The sequence below is a fragment of the Homo sapiens genome, chromosome 1 (genome assembly GCF_000001405.40).
Source record: "Homo sapiens chromosome 1, GRCh38.p14 Primary Assembly".
Classification (NCBI taxonomy): Eukaryota; Metazoa; Chordata; class Mammalia; order Primates; family Hominidae; genus Homo; species Homo sapiens.
In genome coordinates, this window is record NC_000001.11 from 53,585,094 (window position 1) to 53,611,665 (window position 26,572).

The 26,572-nt window shown below is 50.8% G+C and overlaps 1 protein-coding gene across 11 annotated transcripts in view, besides 1 other annotated feature; it reads right to left on the reverse strand.

The window, feature by feature from the left end:
* Positions 1-26,572, reverse strand: part of GLIS1 (GLIS family zinc finger 1) — a 232,926-nt gene that overhangs the window by 78,855 nt on the left and 127,499 nt on the right. For 10 of the 11 annotated variants that reach the window (XM_017000409.2, XM_017000411.2, NM_001390838.1 and 7 more), the window contains 2 exons: positions 15,008-15,185; positions 9,015-9,897 (listed from right to left, as the gene is read on the reverse strand). In XM_017000409.2, coding sequence (XP_016855898.1) covers positions 9,015-9,897; positions 15,008-15,185 — 1,061 coding nt within the window. Of the gene's footprint in view, positions 1-5,911; positions 5,936-9,014; positions 9,898-15,007; positions 15,186-26,572 lie in introns of all 11 variants that reach the window. The other variant, NM_001390836.1, reaches the window with a different exon arrangement.
* Positions 149-349: a silencer, noted in NCBI's record as "peak234 fragment used in MPRA reporter construct". NCBI's record gives its function as "represses an SCP1 promoter by STARR-seq MPRAs in K562 erythroleukemia cells {active_cell/tissue: K562}" and the evidence as "EXISTENCE:reporter gene assay evidence [ECO:0000049][PMID:32103011]".

The following is a 26,572-nucleotide window of genomic DNA, read 5'->3' on the forward strand; positions in this document are numbered from 1 at the left end:
TTTTTCATATTCCATAAAGCAATGTTGGGCTCACAAAACTTGGCCAGCCCTCCTGTTCCCTCAAATTTGGTGCTCCTGGGAATTCTCTTCCCTGTGAGAGCTTGGGACTAACGACTTCAAAAAATGGGGAGGTGGGGGAAGGAACAAGGGCTCCTGTTTTCAAGCATCTAATATGCGCCAGGCACGAGGTAAGTGCTACACATATATGATCTCATCTAGTTCTCACAACACTCTCCCCTCCACGCAGACAGGAAACCAAGGCTCAGAGATGCCACGTGACTTGTCTTGAGGTCTCACAGCTGGTTAAGGGCAGAGTAAGGGATTTGAACCTTAGTGGTTGTCCTGTGTGTTTAGCCATTGGTCCACCCTGGCTCAGAATTTAAGTAAGAAGGGAAAGGGGTGGGGGGTCAGGGATGGAGATAAGTAGAAATGGGGGATGGGGAATGGGGGTGAAACAGGGCAGGGTGGGGATGGAGGTGGAAGTGAGGTGGGGGTGGGCTGTGGAGCAGGGAAGGAGGGCATCCAGCAAAGCTGCAGGCTGAGGCCTCAAGACCAGGAACTACATTTGGGGAGCACATAGCCAACCTGTTCCATTCCTGATGGGGAATCTAACCGGGAGGAACACACCTGTGAAAGTGCCCTGTCTGTACTCAGAGGCCTGGCTGCAGGCAGGAGTACTGGAATGGGAGTCAGAGACTCAGCTTCAGCCCAGCAGCCCTGACTAGGGCAACAGTGCCCCTCTGCAGAGCACTCTGCAGGTACAGAGCACAGCCCCTCCACCCCCTACAGAAACTTCTGGGGTGAGCATCACAGCTCCCATTTTACAGATGCAAAAACAGACTTGGGAGTGAAGTGTCTTGTCCAAGGCTGCATGGCTAGTGAGCAGCAGAGCTGGGATGAGTCTCCAACTCCATCTATCTCCAGTCCCTCTTGTCCTTCCCCAGGCAAGTTATTTCCATCTGGGGACTCAGTCTCCCCTCTGCACAGTGGCTGGTGGGGGACGAGGCTCTGACCTAATTGCAAGGCCAGAGAACTGGAAGGACACTGGCTTCCAGGAAGCCTCTCCTTGTTAAGCCCAAGCCCCCTGGGTTTGCTTTTCCAAAACAGGGGAGGAAGAAAAGCATCCCAATGTAAGCCAAGATCTGTGGAGCTAAACCTCGGGCTCAAGAGAAGAAAGGACATTGGCATCTGTTGAGCCCCTACTAAACACTGTCTACTGCAGACTCTGACTGCTAGGCACTATCCCATTTCACAGTGCAGGAAACTGAGGCTCAGCACAGCCAAGCGACGCATCCAAGGTCACAGAGCCAGCCCATGGCAGAGCTGGGACTTCCAACAGCCTTTTCTGTTTCTTTGGGGACATTCGTGACTGAACAGCCACTATCCATTTTAGACTTTCCCTTTTCTCTTTCGCAAATGCAAACTGTCCAGAACGGCCAGGACCATTCTGATATACTTACTGTGTGCCATTGTCTAGTTTCTCATCAAAGCCTCACAACAGTCCTATTACCCCAATTTCATAGGTAAGAAAACCGAGGCTTATAGAAGTCAAGCTATACTTGTACACAATCACAGGCTGAGGGGTGGCAAAGCTAGGTTTCAAATTCAGGCTTTCTTGCAGAAAAACTTCAAGCACCAGATTAGGGGGTAGACGTGACAGTCTTTAAAGTCCCACCAATGTTGTGACTTCATGGGAAACTACTCAGGAAGACAGGGTCCGGGCAACCTCACACAGCCTTGGAACAGAGAGAACAGATAATCACAGGGCAGAGCCTCTGTCCTAGGGAGGGGACTCAGCTCCTCCACAATGAAGGCCAGGCCAGGCACTGAAGGGCATGTGGTCCCCCAGACACTTGGCCATGTTAGGAACCACTGTTACACACAGCGCAACACATGCTGGGAGAACAGGAGGCACAGAGAAAGGGGGAGCTAAGGAGGGAGCACTGAACTGAGTTGTGAAGGATGTATAGGAGTTTGCCAGGCTAGGAAAGGCATTCTAGACAAAGGAATCAGCAAAAGCCAAGACCCAAAGGATTTAAAGGACCTGGAGAATGCAGACTCTCTAGGAATTCAGGAGGAGAGGAAGCTTCAGGGCAGGAAGAAATAAAGCAGGCATCCCTGGGTTGCTGTTAATGTACCGGATGACATGAGGCCATGGTGCCTGCTCTCTGGGCTTCAGCTTCCCCACCTAATAATGAGGGTAGACATGAGAAGTGACATGATCCCAGGAAGGATCATTAACGAGGACACTTCTGGATGCCAACTTGCAAGCTGACTTTGCCCAAAACAGGTCTCCTTCCCAGATCCATCCAATCCTAGATTGAGTTGAGGCAAGTTGAGGATAGACTTGGTGGCTTGAGTGGGTGGGACCACTTGGCCTCTCTGGCCTCATTTACAGCAGGATTCTCCAGGGCAGCTTTTTGATTTGACCAGAAACCCCAGCCTCCAGGAAGGGAGCTTGTTTCCAGGCGACTATTCTAATGAGAGTGAAATGTTTTACTTTTCAACCCATGAGGTGTTCTCTACTCCAAGACAGAACAAAGAACCCATCAAGTCAGCAGGCAACAGGCTCTCAAGGTGACTGGGTGCTGGCTTCTTGAGAAAAATAGTTACATGCAATATCCATTTACTTCCCCACTCGACTGAGGGCTCCTTGAGACCAGGCAGGATTTGATTCCCTTCTGTGACCCCAGGACCCAGCCAGGGGGCACACAGCAGGTGCTTAGTGACAGCTTGCTGAATGAGTTTCAGATCTGGATATTCTCTCAATGTTTGTAAACAGACTGATGATTCTGTGCCTGGGAGGTGGCTTGGGGTCATGGCTAGTACACAGTCTCTGGAGTCAGACTGAGACCTGGGTTTAAATCCGACCCCACCATGCATTTGGGACCTGAACTTGGGCCAGAACTGGACTGTCCTTTCCCCATCTATAAAATGGGGATCATAATTCCAGTCTCCATGAATATTTTGAGGGCTGAGATCATGCACGTGGAAGCACTACATAAACTGAAAATCGCCCAACAAGCGTCTCAATAATGATCTTGTCCCACTTGATCAACCTGGCCAAGCTTATAAAGCCAGGCTGCAAAACCTCAGCTCCTGGCTCCCCTCCCTGTCTCCATCATCCAGCAATAATATCACAAGATTCAAAAGCAGTGTTCTTCCCACAGTGCCAGAAGTCTCACATCACAACATCTTCATCTCTGCACCCCCAGCTCCTAGCACGAGGCCTGGCACACCAAAGCAAGGCAAGTGTTTCAGGGGAATAATTCTTTCCTAATTGGAGGGTCACTTTCCCACAGCCTAAACCTTCCCCAACTTTCGATTATCAGCCCCTTCAGGGAACTTTCCCTGCCCACTGATGCATACTTGTTGTGCAGTCCTGGGCCCCTGACCACCCTCTCTGGGTCTGTCTTCCCTGTTCTCTGTCTGTATGTGATGGGATGAACTGGCCGACCTGCCACTCATCCATTTCAGGATCCTGGGTAATTCCCTGGGATGAGCTTCAGATGTTGCAATGGGTGAGGGGTGTGTGCTGGCCTTAAAATGCTCAAGCCCACAGGGCTGGTCTCAAGATGTTGGGCAGGGGGCAGAAGGCAGCAGATGCACAGGGACTCCACCCACTGTGATTTGAAAAGCACAGAGGTGACTGTTCTTCTGAAGGAAGAGGTTGGGCAAAAGTAGATGAGTAGAAGGCGGTGTGTCCCATTAGAATGGGCCAGGCAGCTGAGGCAGGTCATACAGAGCAAGCCATTTTGCCTGCGAACTTCAGAAACATACAGTTTCTTCTTCTGTAAAATGGGCATGGTAATTCATGGCTGGCCATGGTAAGTTTCAGAATATATTAATTCTCTTCTCCCTCAGGATATCCCATGGGATATGAGCCCAGAACCCCAATCAAATCTCTCTCCAGTTAACACTGGTTGGGCAGGTCAGCAGATATGGTTGGTATCTACCTCCTGCCACTTGGCAGACTGTGTGATCTTGAGAAGTGATTTGGCCTCTCTGGGCCTCGGAGGTTTTTGTTTTTGAGACAGGGTCATGCTCTGTCACCCAGGCTGGAGTGCAGTGGTGTGATCATAGCTCACTATAGCCTCAAACTCCCTGGCCCAAGTGATCCTCCTGCCTCAGCCTCCCACGTAGCTGGGGCTACAGGCATGTACCACCATGCCCAGCTAGGAGGTCAAAACAACAGATAGGGAATGGCTTGCATTGAGCCAGGATAAAACCATCTCTGAATCTCAGTAAGGAGCAACTCCCTTTAGCTCCCCCGCCCCTCCCAGCACCCAGGATTTTGTTTCTCAGGGGCTGGCGGAGGGGGGTAAAGGTTTGGGGCAAGGCAAAAGGGAAAGCCAGAAGCCCCAGGATTATGGGGAATGACCGTGAGTTTGGCCCAGGCTAGGAGGGCAAGGCCCTCCCGGCAGGTCCAGCCAGGTGGCTTGTGTTCTGAGTTCCTTGGCTAGTTAAGGCCAATCCGTAATACTCAGCTTTCAACCAGATTGATTTCTCTGGCCCTAGATTCAGAGGCACCTGGGACAGACTGGCAAACAGTGGAGAGGGGCGTAAGGAATGGAGACCAGTGGCCAGTGCAGCTGCAGTGGCCAGAGGAAGCTGGGCAGGATGAAAACCCGGCCCGAGACTCCAGCAGCTCATGAGGACTGGGAGGACACGCATGGGCCTCCTATGCCACAGGTCCAGCTGCCCCAGCCTAGCTCCATGCCCCCTGAGCAGACACTGTCTGACTCAGAGAAGGTGATCTGCAAATGACTGTCAATGAACAAGATGCAAAGAATCAGGGATCCCTGGTAGATATCGAATGGCAAGGACAGAGTGCCTGCCCTGCCCAAAGCAACCACCCACATACTGCCCTTCCCACCCTACTGACAGCAGAGGCTGCTACAGTCTCAAGTCCAGGCTCTGCCACCCATTGACTGGCTCTTTTGAGCCACAGTTTCTTCATCTGTAAATCAGCTGTAAATAACCCTGCCCTAAGCCCCAGGGCTACTGTACACATCACCTGAGATCAATGCTGGAGTGTGATGGGGAAGCAAGCACCCTCCCTTACATCATCTCTTTTATCCCTAATCACAACAACCCTAAAAGGCAAGTACTATTATTACTCCATTTTACAATCGAGTATGCTGTAGTTCAGAAAGGGTAAGTCACCAGCACGAGGTCACACAGCTGCCAAGTGACTAAACCAGGCTGGGTCCCAGGTCTGTGGGACTCCAGACCTGGGCTTTTCACCTCTGCACATGCCTTCCGGACCGTGCTCACAGCTTTGGTAAAACTCTTCACCAAAGTAAGGGACTCTTCTCATGCCTATTGTTGTTTTATAAAACCCAAGGTAGAGAAGGGCATTGTCATGACTTTTCCTTTTTCACTCTGCCTCTCTCCTTCTTGATGTGGAGAAAAGCAAGCTACAGTCTGCTAATTTCTGCAGTCGCAGACAATCAGAATTCCGGCCGTCTGGGAGAACCAACCTAAGAAAGCATGAAATTAATCTGTTCAAAGTTAATGTCTTGGAGTCGTCGCGTCAGTATTTGGGTTGGACGGGTAACCTTGTTATCGTAACACAGATGAAGCACCACATTTAATAAGGCTGAGACAACTCGGGCAACGTAAGAAACATAACAGGATATTGCAAAAAGATTAGGGAGCTTCCTCTGGACAGCATGGATGGGCCGTGCAGAGGGCAGGGTGGGGGATGGTGATGCCATTGACCTTGGGGGTCCAGCAAGTCCCTAGTCCCAGGCCTGGCCTAAGGACTAAGATGCTCAGGCAGAGGGGAGCTGGGCTCCTCTCAGCACATTGAGGCCTGCCTGGTGCCGGAGCAGAGGCTCCGCTGGCTAAATGTAAGCCAGCTGCGAGAATGGGAGTGTTCCAGTGGGATGGGATGGGGGAGGCTTACCTCATGAAAGAACTGTGGAAACGGCTGCTGGAAAGATAATAAAAGGATTAACTGCTATTTTAGTGGGCCATTTACTCTTCAATCAAAATGTCTCATCTATTTCCTGTTCTCCAGAGGCTCTGGGTCCAAAATTCCTTTGTCTATTACAGTGCATGGTAGCAGAGGCCTGTCATGAAAAATTAATAATTTTACAGGGAAGGGAGATTTTACTTATCTGGGTGCTGGTTGAGGCCCACCCCTTCCCCTGGGTTACCCACTGTGCCAGCATCATGGAGGAGAGGGAGCACGCCCACCCCACCGCAGGCAAGAGGAGGCCAGGGGAGGCTCTGACAAGCCTCCGAAGCCCAGATCACTGCTGCTGTCTCCAGATGGTGACACCCAGTGGGGCCGGCCCTAAAGCCCAGAGAATAGTCAGTTTAGCAGAGCTACACAAACAAGAGCATTGCAGTTTGGAAAGATGTAGGCTCGAGTCCCATTCCAATGGTTACTAGCTGTGTAACCCTTAGCAAGTTATTTTTATTACCATTATCATTCTTAGCCTCTATTCTTATTATAACTGTTGTTATTGTTTCCAACTAGCTGTGTGACCTGGGGCAAATTATGCAATCTTCCTGAACCTCAGTTTCCTCATCTGTAAAATGGGGGTTCACAGTATCTACCCCACAGCATTGTGTTGAGGACCAGGTGGAGTTGTCACTTAGAATAGCACCTGCACACAGTCTGTACTTGGAAGCTGCTTGCTGGTATTATCATCACCACAATCCTAAACCCTGGAAGAGGCAAGACCAAGTGTTCTCATGGGAGCAAGTGGAAGGCCAGCCAGACCCCACCCAACCTTTGTTTCTTCATTTGTAAAAACCCTTGGTTTTACAGGACTTGTAAGGATTAAACAATACTGATAGGTGAGTGTAGACACAGCTTGATATCACCTCCTCCATGAAGCCCTTCTGGGCCTTCCCTCCCTGGGACTATGCAAACTCCATCCCAGGACCTGCCACTCATCTCCCACCCATCTCTGAGCATGAGTGTCCCCAGGGCAAGGGCCATGGGAGGTCCAGGTCTGGGTCCCCAGAACCAGGCCTCAGCCAGTGTAAGCCAGTGTCCTGTGAAGTCTGTGGAATCAAGTGAGATCCTGGCAGCCTGGCCGCAGAGAGAGAGACCCTGAGTCTGCACTGAGTAACCCAGGCCCCTCTGACCCCTCGCTGGGCCCTGTTTCCCAAGCTAGAAAGTGGGCGGGGAAGGGCTAGATCCTCTCTGACTTCCCAAATTTCCAACACAGATACTCTTCTGGATGCCGTGATTCCACACAGAGGCCCCACTGTGAGAAGACCACTAACCACAGGCAGAAGCCAGGTGTAAGCCAGTGTCCTGTGGAGTCTTGTCAAGGTTCCTTCGGGTCACAGAGCCTCCACCTCGGCCCCCACAGGCACCCACAGACTCACCCATAAAAGAGAATATGTGAAGGAGAACTGTGGCTCAGCAGCTGTCAGCTCCAGGGTCTCGGGGAGATATGGGGGCCCAGCTGTCTCCCAGCAGCCCTGGCCTGGCCTGCGCGCTGTCTATTGGTCAACTCCTAGGCAGGGGCATGTGTCACAGGACCCCAAACAAGCCAGAGCATCGCCAGGGGCTGGCCCAGCCACCAGGCCTCCTTCCAGCATCCTCTCAGCCCAAAGGCACAAGATAAAGTCAAAGTCTCAGCCTGTCCAATGCACTCTCCCCACCACTGCTCCACACACCAGAATGCTAACCACAAGCTCCCTCCTCCTGCCTCCCCTTGGCACAGGCCATTCACTGCTGCTCACTTGTTTACAAAGCAAACTCTTTCTCCTCCTTCAAGACCCAGCCTCCTGAAGCTGCAGAAGCAGATCCTGTCCGACGCCCAGCTCCCAGCTCCACAGGTAGGTGGGGCCCAAGGGCAAGCACCTTGCCCCAGGAGGACGGAGTTTATGCTGCTGATTGCCAATGTGTCCTGCCTCCTTCCTGGCCCCTACAATGTCACCCTGGGCTCTGAATGGGGACACTATGCCCCTTCCCAGACCAAGTGCTCCATGAGTGGGTGTCCAATGACAGTGTTTGACACTTGCACAAGTCCAAGTGTGAAACAGCTTGACTTTAGCTATGGCACCAGCCCCAGCACACCAGCCATGCTGCTGTCCTGATGGCTGGGCGGGCTGGGCAGTGGCCCTGGTGGCCCATGCTTCTCAACACCAAGCACACCCTGAGGTCCAGCTCTGCCGTTTCTGGGCAGGCACCTCTCCTAGTGGGCTGGCTGTGCCTCGGAGGTAGCACAGCAGTTAGGCTGAGTGTATCAGGGAGTGCTCCTAGCCTCTGATACAGTATTCCCCACAGACGGGGCAGAAATGACCTGTCACAGAAATGATCCATCACAAGGGCTGGAGGCCTGAGTACTCACAGTTAATATGCGCGTGTGTGTGCACGCGTGCATGCATGTGTGTGTGCACGTGCGCATGTACACATAATGCTAGTGCCAGAAACCTGTCTCAACTCCAGGAAGAACGCTACTGGTACTACCCAGGGCCTTAGCTAGTAACCCTGGGCCCCAGCCCAAACCCTGCCCTGGGGACCTGCAGCTCTCGAGCCGGGTGCCTGTTAGGCCCCACTGTTCCTTGGTGGAAGCCAAGGCTGTAGGCAGCACTAGAAGGCCCAGGGAACCTCACTGGGATGGGTGGTGGTGAGGGCCCAGCGCTGGAGGAGAGTATGTTCTCCACATCTCATTTGGCCACCAGCAGATGGGACATGGAGCACAAACACATGAAAGAAGAGGCTGGCCACGCCTGTTTTTCCAATCGCATGTGCACACAGCCCCGGGCCCTGTGGCGTGCTAAGATATATCTAATGCCTCAGGGTGGGGGACTGGGCACCTAGTGAGTATGAGGGCCCCTCTGCCACGGTTCCCAGTGACAGGGGCACTGACCGTCTTGACCAGGGGCCACATCCACAGCATGGGTCCTTTCCTCCTCAACCACAGGGATCTCAGCCAGCCCAGAGGACGGAGTCCCAGGCGGCCTCTCCTGGGGCACTGGGGTGAGTGCTGCTCTGCCAGAGGGGCTGGGGTGAGGCCTGGCGGCCGGTGGGAACTCACCATGCACTTGTTGGGCTTCTCGCCCGAGTGCACTCGCATGTGGATGAGCAGCTTGTAGCGGGCGTTGAAGGGCTTGTAGCGGCGCACGCAGCCAGCCCAGAAGCAGGTGAAGTCCTCGCCCTTGCGCTGGTCGATGTGGCTCTTCTCGATGTGCCGCACCAGCTCCTCCTGCTGCTCATAGGCTGCACAGCAGTCCACCCAGCGGCACGCCTGCCGCCCGGCCACCACCCTGCCTGCCAGGCCCAGCCCCAGGCCTCCAAGGCTTGGGCCAGGCGGCAACTGAGACAGGGGATAGGGGGGCGGCAGGCCCTGCTGGTGAGGCCCAAAGAGCTCTGAAAACTCATCCGCGGGTTCCTGCTTCAGGAAGCTCGCCTTCCGGCAGGCTTCAAGTTGCAAGCTGCCCTCATGGCTGTCCGTCGATGCAGGGCCAGGCCGGGCCCGCTTGGAAGGGCCCCCCAGATCTCCCGTCAGAGGGGGGCTCCGGAGTCCATTTACACAGGTGACCAGAGACGTCTGGGAGGAGCGGATGATGGAGGTGACGTCGGAGGAGGCACAGGGTGAGGAGGAGGCTGGGGAGGTGGGGGGTAGGCCCAAGACGCAGCACCGCTTCAGGCTGCCCTCGGGGAGGTGGGTCTCGGGCTGGAGGCCCAGGCCAGAGCTGGGTTCGCTGCCCAGAAGGTAGCAGGAAGGCGCAGGGGTGGCGAGGCTTCGGCCCGGGAGGTCCAGGTCTGGGTGCAGGCCAGTGGCCAGCGGGCCCCGACAGTGGGCAGACAGGGATGTGCGGGCCTCTGCCATGGCTTGGTAGTCGGGCAAGGACTCCTGTTTGATGTGTTGTGTGGTTGGGAGGCTGCCGTTCACATACGTGGCCTGGGGTCTAGGTGACCTGGAAGACAGTGCCCAGAGAGGTCATGAGAGGCTGGGCTCGCCACAGAGGGAAGGCTCAGGTGGGGGCAGACAGGGAAGCTGAGGATCAAGGGATGGACAAGCCCAGGGCAGGAGGCAGAGGCTGAGGGCTAGAGGCAGAGAAAGAGCACCTACAGACTGGTTGTCTGGAAAACAAGCAGAGTGTAAAGGAAAATGGGGAGAGAGAGGAAGAGAAGGGCTGGGGAGGGAAAGAAGAGGCAGGAGGCCAGGCACAATGGCTCATGCCTATAATCCCAGCACTTTGGGAAGGCAAGGCAAGAGGACTGCTTGAGTCCAGGAGTGTTCACGACCAGCTTGGGCTACATAGTGAGACTCCATCTCTACAAAAAAATTTACAAATTAGCCAGGTGTGGTGGTGTGCACCTGTAGTCCCAGCTACTCGGGAGGCTGAGGTAGGAGGATTGCTTGAGCCCAGGAGGTTGAGGCTGCAGGGAGCCAAGGTCATAACATGCACTCCAGGGTGAATGTGGTGAGAACACCAGGAAGGAGGACCTTGCATCGTTTTACCAAAGCTCAGCACCCCCACCCAGCCCTGGATGCCACGCCATCCTGCTTCCCAGGGGGCTGCCCTGCTCCCTCTCCGTGGCCTTCTAGTGAGTTCTCCAGGAAGAAGGCTGAGGCTGGCATTTTGAGGAACACCCAGGTCCAGGGTATATTAAATTCCACTTACATGTCCTTTAAATCTTTCTTAATTTTTGTAATCTAGCTTAACTTCTACAAATGCTAATTGTATGACACTTCGCCCCAAGCAGCCTGGCCTTTCCACTGTTAATGTCAGTGCATGGGGGAGTCTGAAGTGCAGTCCTGGTGGGGGTGTCTCAGGAGGAACTGAGGAAAAGCTTCTGAGGGGTCCCAGGGTTTCAGGCCCTCACAATGTGACTGCATGAAACTGCGATTTTGGGGAAAAGCCATGGGGCAGGCCAGGCAGGGCAGCCCATGGGAGCACGTGGGTTTGAGATCAGGCTCAGCCACATCCAGCCGTGCAAACGTGGGCAAGGTCCTTTGCCATCCTGGGTCTCTCTCCTCCTCTGGGACATCAGGAGGATCCTCCCCATGAGAGCGAGGGTGGTGTATGTGGGCACAGCTGGGGTTTGCCAGGTGGCTGTCTTCACCACATAGGTGGTACACAGGTGCCCAGAGGGCCTCTCCCACATGTGGAACATTCCCTCCACCACTGCGCAGGAGGCCAGGCTTAAATAACACAAGGGGATTCCTGCACTGAAGCTTCCACCATTCTGAGTGGGGGGACCAGGTAAGGTGCAGAGAGAGACGGAAGGGCCTACCTGTCACCAGAGCACTCTGAAAAGGGGAAAGGTCAGGAAAGTGAGGCAGGGCTGAGAGTTAGGACACCCCCCTGGCTGGCTAGGCAGAACAGGGAGCCTGGTGCTATGCCTGAAGTCTGGCTAGGACACCCCACGCCACCTCATCCCATCTGAACCTCAGTTTCCTTGCCTGTAAAATGAGGGCTAAGTCTCTCTACCTCAGAGGATGGCTGCCAGATCGAGTGAGATGGCCCCGTGACAGCCCTCTGCGAAGGGGATGGCAGGGTGAGGGGAGCTCTTATCGCCATTCACCACCACTGTCTTGGGGCTCTCTGCAGCCAGAGCTGTGGGGTCATCACCTGTCCCTCAGTTTCCCAAGATGGCCTTGCAGCTCCAGCCCCTCCATCTCTGGCTCCCTGCAACTGGAGCAGCCCGAGCTCCAGTCATGAGGTACAGGAGGGGAGGGGAAGGGACAGGGCTCCCTGGAAGGGAGCTGCTGAGATGGGGATAATCAGTGTTTCTCCAGCAGAGACTCAGGGGAGAGGCAGGGATCTCAGATCGCATGTCTCTGAGGGCTCAGGAACTGCAGTCTGAATGGAAAGTCAGTGATTTCACTCAACATGCTTTTCACTCTGTGCTGGGTGATGCTGAAGAAGTGGGAAGACCAGGTCCCTGACCTTGGGCAGCTCCCCTTCCAATAGGGGAGTCTGTGGACCAGTCCCCTGAGAGAACATTTACATTCTGCTGAGGGGTAGGTAGAGTTCTGGTGAACAGAACTAGTTATGTAGCCTCTCTAGCCTCAGTTTCCCCACTCAACGGCAGTTGGGGGTTGAGAGCATTAATGCATAAAAAGTGCTTGGCCTGGTGAAACCCTGTCTCTACTAAAAAAAAAAAAAAAAAAAAAAAAAAAAAAAAAAACACTACAAAAAATTAGCCGGGTGTGGTGGCGGGCGCCTGTAGTCCCAGCTACTCGGGAGCCTGAGGCAGGAGAATGGCGTGAACCCGGGAGGCGGAGCTTGCAGTGAGCCGAGATGGCGCCATTGCACTCCAGCCTGGGCGACACAGCGAGACCCAGAAAAAAAAAAAAAAAAAAGTGCTTGGCCTGGGGTGTAGTGCACAGTAAGCACACCACCATTGTTTTTTATTAGCCGTAGGATCTGGGCCTCCTGGGACCATGAGGACTGAATACAAGAATGTGCACCCAAAGGAGTCACTCAGGAAACCGAGGCTTTTATTAGTATTAGAGAGTTAGGCTGGAGGCAAGGAGGCAGCTGGCGCAGGAGCCCAGGCGCTAGTTGCAAGGTCCTGAGATTGGGAGGGGCAGGCGCCGAGAGTGGAGAGAAGGGGCCCCAAACACAAGGCCGTCGGGCGGTTGGGGGAAGGCACGGAATTCAGATCAGGTGCGGCATAGGGGCTGGGGGTCTGTTTTTCTTTAGGAAAATGAGCGAGTCTGAAAGTGTCAGCTCAAATTCAACCACTTTAATAGGGAGGGTGTGGGGGCACAGCAACTTAGACTGATGCCGGCGTAGAATTCTACACACAGACTCTCCTGTGCCGTAAATTGTCAAAATGATATTCAAAATGACAAATGATATTTCTGACTATCTCTAGCAAAAGAAAAAAAAATCCTCTTCCTTAGCTTTTCCTAGGTTAGCACAGCTTCTACCCTGAGAGATAATAGAATGAATTTCACCAGGGAAATTGGGTACCACTGGGGAGCCTCCAGAGAAGAATCCAGCAGATAAATGCATTTGACTGTCACCAAACAATGCACGGCTCAAAAACTATAAGACGCTTGCTCCTTGCTATGGACTGATTTGTGTCCCCCCAAAATTTATACATTGAAGCCCTAACATCCAGTTTGACTGTGTTTGGAGACAGAGCCTTTAAATAAATAATTAAGGCTAAACAAGGTTATAAGGTTGAGGGCCTACTCTGATAGGACAGGTGTTCTTATAAGAAATGAGGGCCGGGCACGGTGGCTCACGCCTGTAATCCCAGCACTTTGGGAGGCTGAGGCAGGTGAATTGCTTGAGCCCAGGAGTTCAAGACCAGCCCGGCCAACATGGTGAAACCCCGTCTCTATAAAAAATTAGCCAGGCGTGGTGGCACACGCCTGTAGTCTCAGCTGCTGGAGTGGCTGAGGTGGCAGGATCACTTGAGCCTGGGAGGTGGAGGCTGCAGCGAGCCAACATTGTGCCACTGCACTCCAGCCTGGGTGACAGAGTCAGACCCTGTCTCAAAAAAAAAAAAGGAGGAATTAGGGCACAGGCCGAGGGATGGCCACGTGAGTACTCAGCGACAAGGCGGTCATCTGCGAGCTAAGGAGAGAGGCCTCAGAAGAAACCAAACCTGCTGGCACATCAGTCCTGCACTTCTAGCCTCCAGAATGGTGAGAAAGCACAATTCTGTTGTTTAAACCACCTAGTCCATGGCATTTGCTATGGCAGCCTAAACAAACGAATACACACCCAAAATCAGAAGTTTTACTAATATCAAAGGAAGCCAGAAGGAATCTAAATTCTCAAAGGAAAATGGTTGCACTTGGGAAGAACAGCATCCTTCTATTTAGGAATTTATCCACTGTGGAGCTCTCACGAGAACGTAAACTCCATCAGGAGAGATCTTTGCTTCCTTCACCAAGATGCTCCCAGCACCGACCACAGTGCCTGGCACATGACAGGCACTTGACAAATGGCTGGTGAAGGAATAAACTGCAAACCGGCAACTGGGCAAATGTTTAGAATCTCTGGTCTGTGAAGCAGGCCTCAGGCCAGCAGCCCCAGGCAGTGGGTGAGGGGCCTGGGGCTGAGCTGGTGTGCACAGAGGCCTGTCTGTGACTGACCTGGCTGTCAGCAAACCAGAGGGCACCAAGGCTGCTATGGTTTGAATATCTGTTCCCTCCCAAACTCATGCTGAAACTTAATCCCAAATGTGGCAGTGTTGAGAGGTGGGGCCTTTAAAAGGTGACTGGGTTGGGTCATGAAGGCTCTGCCTCATGTATGGATGAATCCGTTCACGGGTTAATGGATGATCATGGGAGTGGGACTGGTGCCTTTATAAGACGAAAGAGACCCGAGCTAGCGTGTTCAGCCCCCTCACCAGGTAATGCCCTGCGCCACCTCGGGACTCTGCAGAGGTCCAGCCAGCAAGAAGGGCCTCACCAGATGCAAACCCTCAATATTGGACTTAGCCTCCAAAAATGTAAGACATAAATTCCTTTTCTTTATAAATTACCCAGTGCCAGGTATTCTGTCAATATGTAACAGAAAATAGACTAAGACAAAGGCACAACTGAGACCCCAGGAGAAGCTGTAGGAGGCGGGCGTCAGCCCAGTGCACACCCTAATGAGACAGGGTGGCCGGCACTGGAAGTGTGCAAGCACTGAGTGGACAGCTACCCAGCAGGGCTCTGTGGGCCATGGTCTCCTGGGGCAGAGATGGTATGTGGGAGGAATCCCTCTCTGCCCTATCAGCAGTTCAGGGTTTGACACTGTATAAACTCTGAGCTGGGCTTTCCTTCCCCAACCTACCCATGAATCTTCCTCTTCTGAAATGATTGATTCTCTGTGAAAAGCTTCGTCTGCTTGTTCAGCAGGGAAACACCTCAACAGAACCATCTTGTGTCTCTCAGAAGGCAAAGCAGAAGGTGCAGGATCTAGGCCAGGTAGCTGCTTCTGAGCTACGGGCCCCTCGTGCCTCCATTTCCCCATGTGTCCCCCCAGCTAAAAAGAGGAGGTGAGGCCTGAGGCCCATGGTCCTGGGGCCTCCTGGGAGTGTCCACAGAAAGCAGCTGCCCACACCTACCTGTCAGGGTGGGGGAAATGCAGCAGCCTCTCACAAGCTTGGGGGTGAGCCCGGGGCGGTGGGCTTCCTGCAGGGAGAAACAGGCCCTGGCAGCAGGTGGGGCCAGGGCCCTCAGCAAGGTCCAGGTCCAGCAGGCTCTTCTCTGAGCCCGGGGTACGGTGTCCGTAGCTCCCATTCACTAGGCAGAGAAAGACAGGGAGAGAGGGACACAGTGAGTGGGAACAGCCTGCAGAGGGGTATGGGGAGAGGGCAGTCCCTGGGGTACAGCAAGGGACAGGGCACCCAGAGCCAACACTCACTGCATCCCTGCTGCATGCAAGGTACCAGGATACCTCATCTAATTCCCACAACCACCAGCAGGATCGATAATAAAATCCTCCATTCTCAGATGGGGATGCTAGGTCTCCGGTGGTTAAATGACTGTTACATGAACACTGGATACCTCCTATGTACAAACACTGTTCTAGGTGCAGGAAACACTGGTAAACAAGAGAAACTCCGAGTCTCTTGGAACGTACAGTGTATTATCCTCACGTTAACCACACGGTGCTCATGAGGCAAGGTGTGAGAACACCAGCTGGGGCAGGTGGCTGCTCAGCTGCGCTGCTGCCCACAGGCTGGAGGGAGCAGTGCTGACATGTGAATGTCAAGGAGTACGTGCTCACTAAACAGCATCTGGTACAGTTAACACAAAAGCTCAGTCTACATTGTCTCCCAAATTGTGTTACACCACAGAAACACAGTGTGCAATTATACCTCGCTATTGCCTGATTCTTCCACAGCCTGCCTCATGCCCTGCCTCGCCCTGCTAGTGGGTTTCTAGGAAGATTAGCTGAAGCAGTTGATGTGAAAGTGCTGAAAAACCACATAAAGTGTAACAAGAGTCAGGCGTGCTTGTTCTAAGCTCCTTCCCCTCTCTGGGCCTCAGTTTTCTCATCTACGGATGAGGGATATACACCTCCAAACTCCATTTTCTTATGCTTTCTGTCCTGTCACTCACAGAGCAAAGCTAGGGAGGAAAGGACATGAATTTTGGGGGCTGACAGACCTCGATGTGAGCCCCTACTCTGCCCCAAACCAATTCCATAACTCAGACAAATCCCTGCGCAGGCCAGACCCTGTTTCCCCTGTGTAAGGGGATCTCACCCGTTCCCCAGTGATGCTGTGAGCCTCTGAGAGCAGGGGCACAAAGTCTCTAGCACGGTGCTGAAACCTAGTGGATGCACCAAGAAGGAAAATTGTTCTTATTGTTAAACAGCACTTCAACAATTACAAAGTGCCTTGCAGATACAATAAAACATGATTGATAGGCCCAAGTATGGCCAACCCTGAGAAAGATAAACCATTAAGACGTGAAAAAAACCTGGTCCTGGAACATGATTGACTCCTTACCATGAGGAAAAGGACATCAGCAAGCGCAGCATCTGCCGAGCAGCCTGTGCAGGACCAGGGCTGGGGACACACACCACTGTCGCACTTGAGCATCCCCACTGCTGTCCAAGGGAGGCCTGAGTCTCACTATCCTCATTTTACAGAGGACAAAACAGAGGCGTGGGGAGGTTCAATTACTCACCCAAGAACACACAGCTAGGAAGCCTCTGAGTTGGATTTCTGGATCAGATCTGTCAGACCCAAACCCCACGTCTTAATCGCTATGTAATAAGAAGCCTTTTAGAGAGTCCACCCCCGAGGATCCCTGTCCCTCAACCCTAATTCTAGCCCACCCTCAAGGCAGTTCCTTTGGCACACAATTATCCCCATGCTGAGGCCGGGCACTCAGTGCTAACTAGCCATGTGCCATAGCTCTGGACAGGCACCAGGCATTTGCTTGCCGAGCACGTTCCAGTCTGTGGATGAGCATGCAATGCTCACAAGGTCCCAGGGCAGGTGAGGTGCTCATATGGGAGCCTCCACGTTCCCAGCCACACGCGAGCCCGTGGAGAGGACTCGGCAAACATCTGCTCCCACGCTACCTTCCCAGCCCCAGCCCCAGTCCTGGCCCGTCCTGCTGCGAGCAACGCTTGTTCCCACTGGCCCTGGCTGCTGCCTGGCCAGCCCCTCGCAAGCTTATGTTTTAATAACTGGGTTGTTTTTTAATTAAAATGAAATCCCTGGTAACAAATGTGAATGGCCCGAGTTAATGAGAGCAGGCTGCCGCTCATTTAACTCCGTCTCTGCTTGGCCGTCTTTGCCTTTTCCAAATCGTTTCTGCATGCAATTTTATTGTCCCATTGAGGCAAACCCTGGGACTGGGCCTCAGAAAACTGTGGATAATTTTATGACCATTAATAGCATTTGGAGCAGAGAGAGCTTAATCATCACACGGAGCAGTTTCACCAGGGTCTTTCTCCCAGGGTCTCTAACGGGGGTGCCGTTCAGAGCTTCCTTCCAGGACTCACCAGGCCCCTCTGGGGCCTTGGGTTACTCCTCCCCTCCTGCACTTAGGAGGCTGTGTGCAGTGAAGGAAGGCAGGCCCTAGAAAGGGTGGACAGCCAGCACCTACCAAGCCCTCACTCATCAAGACCTTCAAGGGTCCATCCCTGTGGGGCAGGGGCAGGACAGCCATTTTCCAGATGAGAAAGTCAAGGTTTGGAGAGAGATTCTGTGCCTTTGAGCAGGCTTGGGGGTCTGTAAGAAGCAGGGCCACAGTTCAAACCTAGATCTCCCAGACTTCAAAGCCCACATCCTGCTGCCTCTTGGCCAACTGCTGAATAACCAGAGACCCCTAAATAAGTGTCCCCACCTTTGACTCCAATGAGGGTCATGTTGGAGAGCCTCTGGGAAAGTAAAAAGGAAAACCATCATAATGATGTCTAAGCTTTAATCTTTGCAATAATTCTGCCAGGAGGGTAAGCCCGCTCCATCGACAGATGAGGATACAAAGGCTCAGAATGGTCAAAGCAGTTTGCCAAGGTCACACAGGGAAGAAGGGACTGAGTGGAGATCAAACCCATCACTTCTACAGGAAGAAATAGTCTTTACCCAACAAACTATTGAGGCCTGTTAGCTTCTTCTCCTCTGGATACAGTAAAAGGTTTTCCTGCAGTAAATAAACAAACCAGCTTTGGGAGGGAGGGAAGGGGGAAGGCGCCACTCAAGTCATAGTATGGTGCCACTTAGTGCTCTAGGCTCATTCAAGCCCTTGTCTGCTGGGACCCTCACAGCGCTCTGGGTGGAAACATCAACCTCCCAACTTTGCAGAGGGACACTGAGCACCAGGGCCAGCAAGTGGTCACCCAAGGTCATACAGTAATTGCTGGCATAGTCGTGGCCCAAAGTTGGTCTTTCAAAGCCTAGACTCTGCCCCGGGATACCTGCTGTCTCAGAGACTGGAAGTTAAACCCAACACTGCAAACACGTGTCCCAGAAATGCTGCTGTCACTGGAAAGATGCGGGGACTCTCATCGCTACCCATCACGGTCCCATGTCTGCCAGGAAAGATGTAGGCACTGCCTCCTGTCTGTTGTCTTGCCTCCCTGTCCCCAGTGACTTCACAAGACCCAGATGGAGGAGGTCCACTCCTGTTCACTCTCCATCTCCAGAGAGCATGGATGGATGGATCCTTCCCTGGAAAAGCCGGGGGAGCAGGGGTGCCCTAGAAAGAGGTTGGCACCCGCAACCATGTCTCACTCTGTGCCACAGGGGGCCAAGAGCCAACCTTGGGCCTGGCTTTCCCCATGCAAATGAAGCTCCTTTGGAGACTTACAGGGTGATGGAGTCCTGTGTTTACTTTTACAAGTTAGTGAGAAATCCTAGAATGTCAGAGTTGGGACTGGCTGACCATCTATTTCATTAATAGATAAGAAGCTAAGGCTCAGAGAAGGAAAGGGCCTGCCCCAGCCACACAGCAAATCCATAGCAGGGCCTGGATTGGCACTTTTTAAGCTAGGTAAGAATTTCATTTGGTTTTCTCATCAAGCCTCAATGTTCTTATCTGTAAAATGGTGCTAACACCTAACCCACAACGTTGAGGTGACAAATGAGAATATGAACACAATGCATTTGGCATGAGGCCTAGCTCACAGTTAGTGCTTAAAAAGTAATGTGATGATAATTATTTCTTTTATTTCTCCTTGAGCCTGGGGCAGGGAGATGGGGACCTGTAAGGGAAACATGTTGTCCCCAGAAAGGGCAGGTCTGGATGACTCTAAGGCCAGACTCAGAAGGACAAACCCTCAAGACTTGGGGTTCAGTACATGCAGGATGGCGTAGCCTAAACGAGGTCACAGCCAACAAATCCGAAGCAAACAGCTCTAGTTACACACCAGAGAGCTTTGCAAATTACCATAATGACTTGGCTATAAAGTGGCACCACATATAAGGTGACTCCCCACAAGAATTTTAATTTATGCTGAACCCTGCCAAGTCTGCGTGAGAGTGGGCAATGATGCATTCAGCATCTAAGACCCAGAGGCTGCCTCCTTGCAGTCCCAGAAGCATCCAGCAGCTGGGTCCAGGCAGGCCTACATCATGACCGCCTTCTTGTTTTAACCACAAGCAGACTTTATTGTCTATCAGGCACTGGGCTGGTGATAGGGCACTGCACTTTACAGTTTACAAAACATTTTTGCATCCATCACCTGTGAGCTTCATTACAACCCTCAGGAGTTGACTGGGCAGGCTCAGAGAGGGCAGGTGATTTGCCCAAGCTCACACAGCAAGTATAAGGCTTAGACTTGCCTGACTCAGCCATCTAGTCAGCAAGCTTTTTCTGTAAAGGGCAAAAAAGTAAATGATTTAGGCTTTGTGGGTATATAGTCCCTGCCACAACTACTCAACTCTGCCCTTGTACCATTAAAAAATATATATATATGTGTGTGTGTGTGTGTGTGTATATATATACATATATATATATACACACACACACACACAAATGAGTGGGACTGTGTTCCAATAAAACTTTATTTAGAAAAACAGATTGCTGGCTCCTAGGCTGTTAATCGCCAACCCCCGATCTCATGCAGCAGTGAGAGAGACAGGATTCAACATCTGAAATGAGCATACTTTTTCCTGCATCTGTAAAATGGGGAGGATTTTACAGGGTGGAGCTGAGGGTGTGAAATCACTGTCAAATACTGAACGCAGGCCTGGCTCCTGGTGGGCATTCAATGAATGGAAGTGCCTTCAGCCTGGCTCTGGGGCCACTACAACCTAGACTCCCCTGTCCACCTGGTGTGACCTCACACATCCATGATGCTTCGCTGCTCTGAGGCACACATCCTCGGCATCCCATCAGGGTGGCCTGACCCTTCCAAACCCCTCTGGGCCCTCAGAGCCCAGCAGAAGCACACCTCCTCCTGGAATGGTGCTTGGTCTCCTGCCTTCCCTCCTGGCTTCCTCCACTGCCTGAGCTCCCCGGCCTCGGCAGTCCCTGCGAATAGCTGCCACTTAGGTGCGCCTTCTGCACATCCAGCACGTGCCAAATCCTTCCCATGGTTTTTCTCTAAATCTTCACAACATCACTATAGTACTCTCTACTGCCACACAGATGCTTTCGGTGCAATGAAAGTCCTACCTCCCCTACGAGCCTGAGAAATCCTTCAGGACAAGGATCTTGGAGCCCCAGAGCTGCTGAATGTCAATGTGGCCCTCAGCATGATTTTGTCCAACTTGCTTCACATATTGAAGGGAAAACAGGGGCCCGGATTGAAGAAGGGACTTGTCCTAGTCACACAGTGAGTGCGTTCTCTAGACACCTGGGCCCCCCAGGCATGTGCCCTCTCATTCCCTCATTCCCAGCACAGTCAGGCCCACAGCAAGTGCTTAGAAATGCTGGGAGGGTAGGTGGCTGGGAGGCCTGTCTCAAGTTTACTTTTGTGCCTACTATATGCCAGACACTGTGACTTAGGGGAGTGGAACAAGCTTTGTCACACACACACCTAGGTTGAAGTCCTGCTCCACCATTAACTTTCTAGCTATTTGACCCTAGACAGTCACCTCACCCTTCTGAGCCTCAGTTTCTTCATCTATAAAATGGGGATAAGAATCCCAGCTCCAGGGGATGGCTGGCTCTTAGGATTAAGTGAGGTAATGTACATGGAGTCTCTGGCATGGTGCCTGGCACAGGCAGCACTTTGATAAAGGCCCCTCTGCTGCTGTCTGGACAGGCAGAGAGACATGGTCAACAGCCCCTGGGGTAGACCTATTTTCCTGGGCAGTGGGCATCAGCCGCCATGGAAGAGCAGCCCTAGGCCAACGGAGTCATGCCAGCAGCCCTTCCCCAGGAGGCTGAGCATGGGCGTGGCAGCCCCCTCTCTGAGCCTAGCTTTGCCCTCTGTGCCCCAGGAGTGCTCTGCTGGGCTTCCCACAGGTCAGGCCCTGGCAGGAGGGGCACCCCAGGAATCACAGGCAGGAGACATAGTGCTTCCCACTTCCTAGGTCCAGGGCGGGTGAGCAGCTCACCGCAGGACACACAGCAGAGACAGAGCCCGAGCAGCGTTCATCTCCTAACCCTTTCTGCTCTCTGGGCTGCCTCGTCACTCCCTCTTTTCCCTCCTCACAAAATCCAGAAGCCCAGAGACCAGCAGGGAGATGGGCTTCTGAAAGAGGAGCAGCAGGAAGGTGGACAGCCCGGTGGACCGGGTTAGCTGAGACCTGCTGCTTGCCTGGAGCCGCCTTGGGGCATTCATGGCCATCAGAGGGGCCGTAACCTCAGCAGGGGCCTCCAGAACAGCAGGCCTGACGCTCGCGGCCTCACGCCGGGCTTCTGCCGCCCACCACCTCTTATCCCAGACTGCAAGAATCCCATAAATTCCCCCTTTAAAGCTAAGCTAGACTTACGGGGACTCGGGCCAGTGAAACCTGAGCAGGCTCACCTCAGGACGGCGCCGCGGAGACACCCGAGCCAGCCCATAGCTCCAGCCCGGTCCAGGGCCAGAGTGAGCAGCCCAGGGCGGGTCACACATGTGGGGGCAGGTGTATGGTGTGTGTAAATAAACACAGCCAGGGGCCAGCTTTTCCCTCAGACTCTCTTACTGCTAGCAAAATCACACATATTTATTGTAGAAAAAATCAGAAGGTGTACCTAGGCAAATTAGAAAATAGATATCACCTATAAGGCTAGCAGCCAGAAAGCACCATCACAGACATGAGGACATAAACCTCTGCAGTATTTTCTATGCATCTATATACATTTTTTGACAAAAAGCAGGGAAATACATGTATTTTCTTTTCTTTCTTTTTCTTTTAGAGACAGGGTCTCACTCTGTTGCCTAGGCCAGGGTACACTGGCGTGATCATAGTTCACTGCTGTCTTGACCTCCTGGCCTCATGGGATCCTCCACCTCAGCCTCCTGAGTAGCCAGGACAACAGGTGCTTGCCATCACACCCGGCTCATACTTTCTGATACTCTGCTTTTTTCATTTAGTAACATACCATGATACCAAAGTTGATGGAGTGCCCATTATGTGCCAGGTACAGTGCTAGGCTCTTTCCGTGCCAGTATTGCTAAACCCATTTCCAGATGAAGAGTAAGGGACTTGCCCAAGGTCATGCAGCTGTGAAATGGGACAGTCAGGATGCAAGGCCAGCTCTATTAGACTTGGAAGGCACTGCTGACCCAGACACTGCTCCACATCATTAAGCGATTTAGGGCAGCTGCAGCTGATGGCTTCCCCAGTGTACTAGTCAGTTCCGGCTGCTATAACAAAATACCATAGACTAGGTGGCTTAAACAACTGAAATGTATTTTCTCACAATTCCAGAGGCAAGAAGTCCAAGATCAAGTTGCCAGTGAATTTGGTTTCTGGTAAGGGCTCTCTTCCTGGCTTGGAGACAGCAGCCTTCTCACTATGTCCTCACATGGCCTTTCCTCAGTGTGGGCACGGAGAAAGTAGAGTGAGCTCTCTGATGTCTCTCTTTTTTTTTTTTTTTTTTGAGACAGGGTCTTGCTCTGCTGTCATCCAGGCTGGAGTGCAGTGGTGCGATCATAGCACACTGCAGCCTCAAGTTCCTGGACTCAAACAATCCTCCCACTTCAGCCTCCCAAGTAGCTAGGAAGGACTACAGATGTGTACCACCATACTTGGCTAATTTTTTATTTTTTAGAGATGAGGTCTCACTATGTTTCCCAGGCTGGTTTTGAACTCTTGGGCTCAAGCAATCCTTCTGCCTTGGCCTCCCAAAGTGTTGGGAATATAGGCGTGAGCCACTGCCCAGCCTGGTGTCTCTTCTTAAAAGCATACTAGTCCTATCTGATCAGGGCTCCACCCTTATGACCTCATTTAACTTTAATTACTTCCTTAGAGGCCTCATCTCCAAACACAGCCACACTGGGTGTTAGGGTTTCAACATATGAATTTGAGAGGGGGACAGTAATATTCATTCTGTAACACCTAGGATTCACGCCCTCCTTTTCCCTCCCTAGTAGGATCCCATATTTCCTATATCTAGCTATGGAGCTTGAGAGAGAGTATAGCATCACAGATAAGAGTATAGATTTTGGAGCCAGAAGACTAGGTTTGAATCTTGATTTTGCCACTTACTAACTGTGTGACCTTGTCTAAGCCAAGTGACTTAGCTTCTTTGTGCCACAGTTTATGAAGTTAAAATGGGTTAATGTACCATATATTAAGTACCTAGAACAGAAACTGGCATACAGCAGGCACTACATAACTGTTTGCTATGATTGTTGTTCTTATTAATCCCACCCCAGGGTGGGCTGTGGAAGGCCTGAACCAATCAGCATGTTCCCATCTCTCCAGATATAGTGCCACAGTGAATGGCTCAGAGAGAGACATGTAAGGCAAGCTGGCTTAATTAGACAGATTCCTGGCAGTTCTGTTTGATGACTCTGCCCCCCTGCATGTGAATGAGGATGCATGCAGCCCTGGGGGCTAGTAGAAGCCATCCTGTTCCCCTAAGAAAAGTCAACTGGAGGACAAGGTCAATAAAATGAGACCTCTCAGCTAGAAGAACAGCAGAGAAACTAAGTCACAGCACTGGTGGCACCAAGAGCCTCCAGTGAACAGTAAAGCTCTTATAGTGTTTCAAGCCTGTCACAGATGGGATTTTTATTACTTAAACCAAAAGCATCCTTATTAATATTCTTCTACAAAATAATTTTTATCCACTTGACAATCTTTGTTTTTAATTTGAATATTTAGTCCATTTATACCATTTACATTTAATGCAATTACCATATATTTGGGTATTTGGGTTTAAATCTTTTTTTTTTTTTTTTTTTTTTTTTGAGATGCAGTCTCACTCTGTCGCCCAGGCTGGAGTGCAGTCGTGCGATCTTGGCTCACTGCAACCTCCACCTCCTGGGTTCAAGCAATTCTGCCTCAGCCTCCTGAGTAGCTGCGACTACAGGTGTGTGCCACCACACCTGGCTAATTTTTGTATTTTTAGTAGAGATGGGGTTTTACCATATTGGCCAGGCTGGTCTTGAACTCCTGACCTCATGATCCACCTGCCTTGGCCTCCCAAAGTGTTGGGATTACTGGCGTGAGCCACCGCACCCAGCCTAAATCCTTTTTTATTTGAACCTATTCTAGGTTTTCTCTCCTTTCTTACCTTCTTTCAAATTAATCAAGCATTTTTTATTATTCCATTTTATTAGCTTGTTAGATATACTTTCTTCTATTGCAGTCTAATATAGATCAGTACAGTCATGCATCAACAACAGGGATACATTCTGAGAAATGCATTATTAGATGATTTCATTGCTGTGTGAACATCATAGAATGTACTTACACAAACCTAGGTGGTATAGGCTACCATCTATGTGGCATACATGATCACACCTAGGCTATCTGGTATAGCCTATTGCTCCTGTGCTACAAACATGTACAGCATGGTATTGTACTGAATACTGTAGGTGACTGTAACACAATGATTAGCATTTGTGTATCTCTAAACAGAAAAAGTACAGTAAAAATACAGTATCATCATCTTATAGAACCACCATTGTATATGTAGTCTGTCATTGATTGAAACATTGTGCAGTGCATAAATGTACTTTTACTACTTTCTACACAAGGCAAGAACCTCAGGACTCTAATTCCATTCATGTGCCTACACACACACATTCTTTGGGTTACTGTTTTTGTATATTTCAATTCTACATATATTTTTAAATCGTTACCAGATAGTATTGTTTTGTGTAGTCAATATAGTGTTTATTTATATATTTCTCAAAACCAGTGCCATAGTAATAGTTAATATTTAAAAAAATACTTTCCCTTCATCCTGTTTCCATATGAGGTCTTTTTCCTTTTGCATTAAAAATTTTTAAAAATTGTAAGCCTACTGGCAAGGAATTATCTCAACTTTTTCTGGGACCCAAACATTTGTTTGAAAATGTTATTATTTCATTACTTCTGAAGAATATTTCTGCTGGGTATAGAATTCTAAGTTGGCAGTTATCTTCTTTCCATATATTATGGATTTATGCCACTGTGTTAAGAATTTCATAATTTCTATTGGAAAGTCATCTCTAAGTCTTTTGAAGTTATTGCATCTTCCCCCTCAACCCTGACTACTTTTAAGATTTTCTCTCCGTGTTTTGTTTTCAGCAGTTTGACATAACTATGGTGTGCCTAGGTGTGCTTCTCTTTGTATTTATTCTGCTTGAGGTTCACAGGAATTCTTAAATATGTGTCACAACGTCTTCTGTCAGTTTTGGAAAACTACTGGCTATTACCACTTCAAACTTTACTTTGCTCGTCGTCTTTCCCCTGTCTTTCTGGGGCAACAATGTATGTTAGGTCCTTTCACCATGTCCTATATATCTCTTATGCTATTTTTGAATTTTCCATCCTTTTTTAACTTTCATGCATCAGCCTGGATTTTGTCTACTGGCCTATTTTCCAGTTCACTGATCCTCTCTTTAACTGCATCTTTTAAATCTAGCTTTTGCATTCTTAAATTCTGTTACTATATTTTTTCATTTAAAATTTTTCATTTTATTAATTTTTATGGTTTTCAGATCTCTATTAAATTCTCTATTTATCAATTTTCTTGAACATATTAATGTTATGAACAGTTATTTTATTTTTTGAGACAGGGTCCTGCCCTGTCACCCAGGCTGGAGTACTGTGGCATGACCTTGGCTCCCTGCAGCTTCAACTTCCCAGGCTCAAGCAATCCAGCCATTTCAGCCTCCCAAATAGCTGAGATTATAGGCAACACACGCACTATCATGCTCAGCTAATTTGTGTATTTTTTGTAGAGACAGGGTCTCAACAGTTTGCCCAGACTAGTCTTGAACTTCTGGGCTCAAGTGATCCTCCTGCCTTGACCTCCCAAAGTGCTGGGATTGTAGGCATGAGCCACTGCGCCTGGCCAATCACAGTTATTTTCAATCCTGTGTCTGATAACACCAACATCTGGACTACTTGTGTGTTTTTATTGTGTTTTTCTCCCTCTTGGTCCTGTCTCCTGGTATCTCTGGTAATTTTTGACAGAATGCTCAATATTGTGTATGAAATTTGGACAGATGATATCTTCCTCCAGAGAAAATTTTATTTTGCTTCTTAAAGGCAGGTAAAAGAGGAAAATATCATCTTAATTCAGTCTGGGATTTGGCTGTTTTAAAGCTGGGCTTCACTCTTTGTACAAGT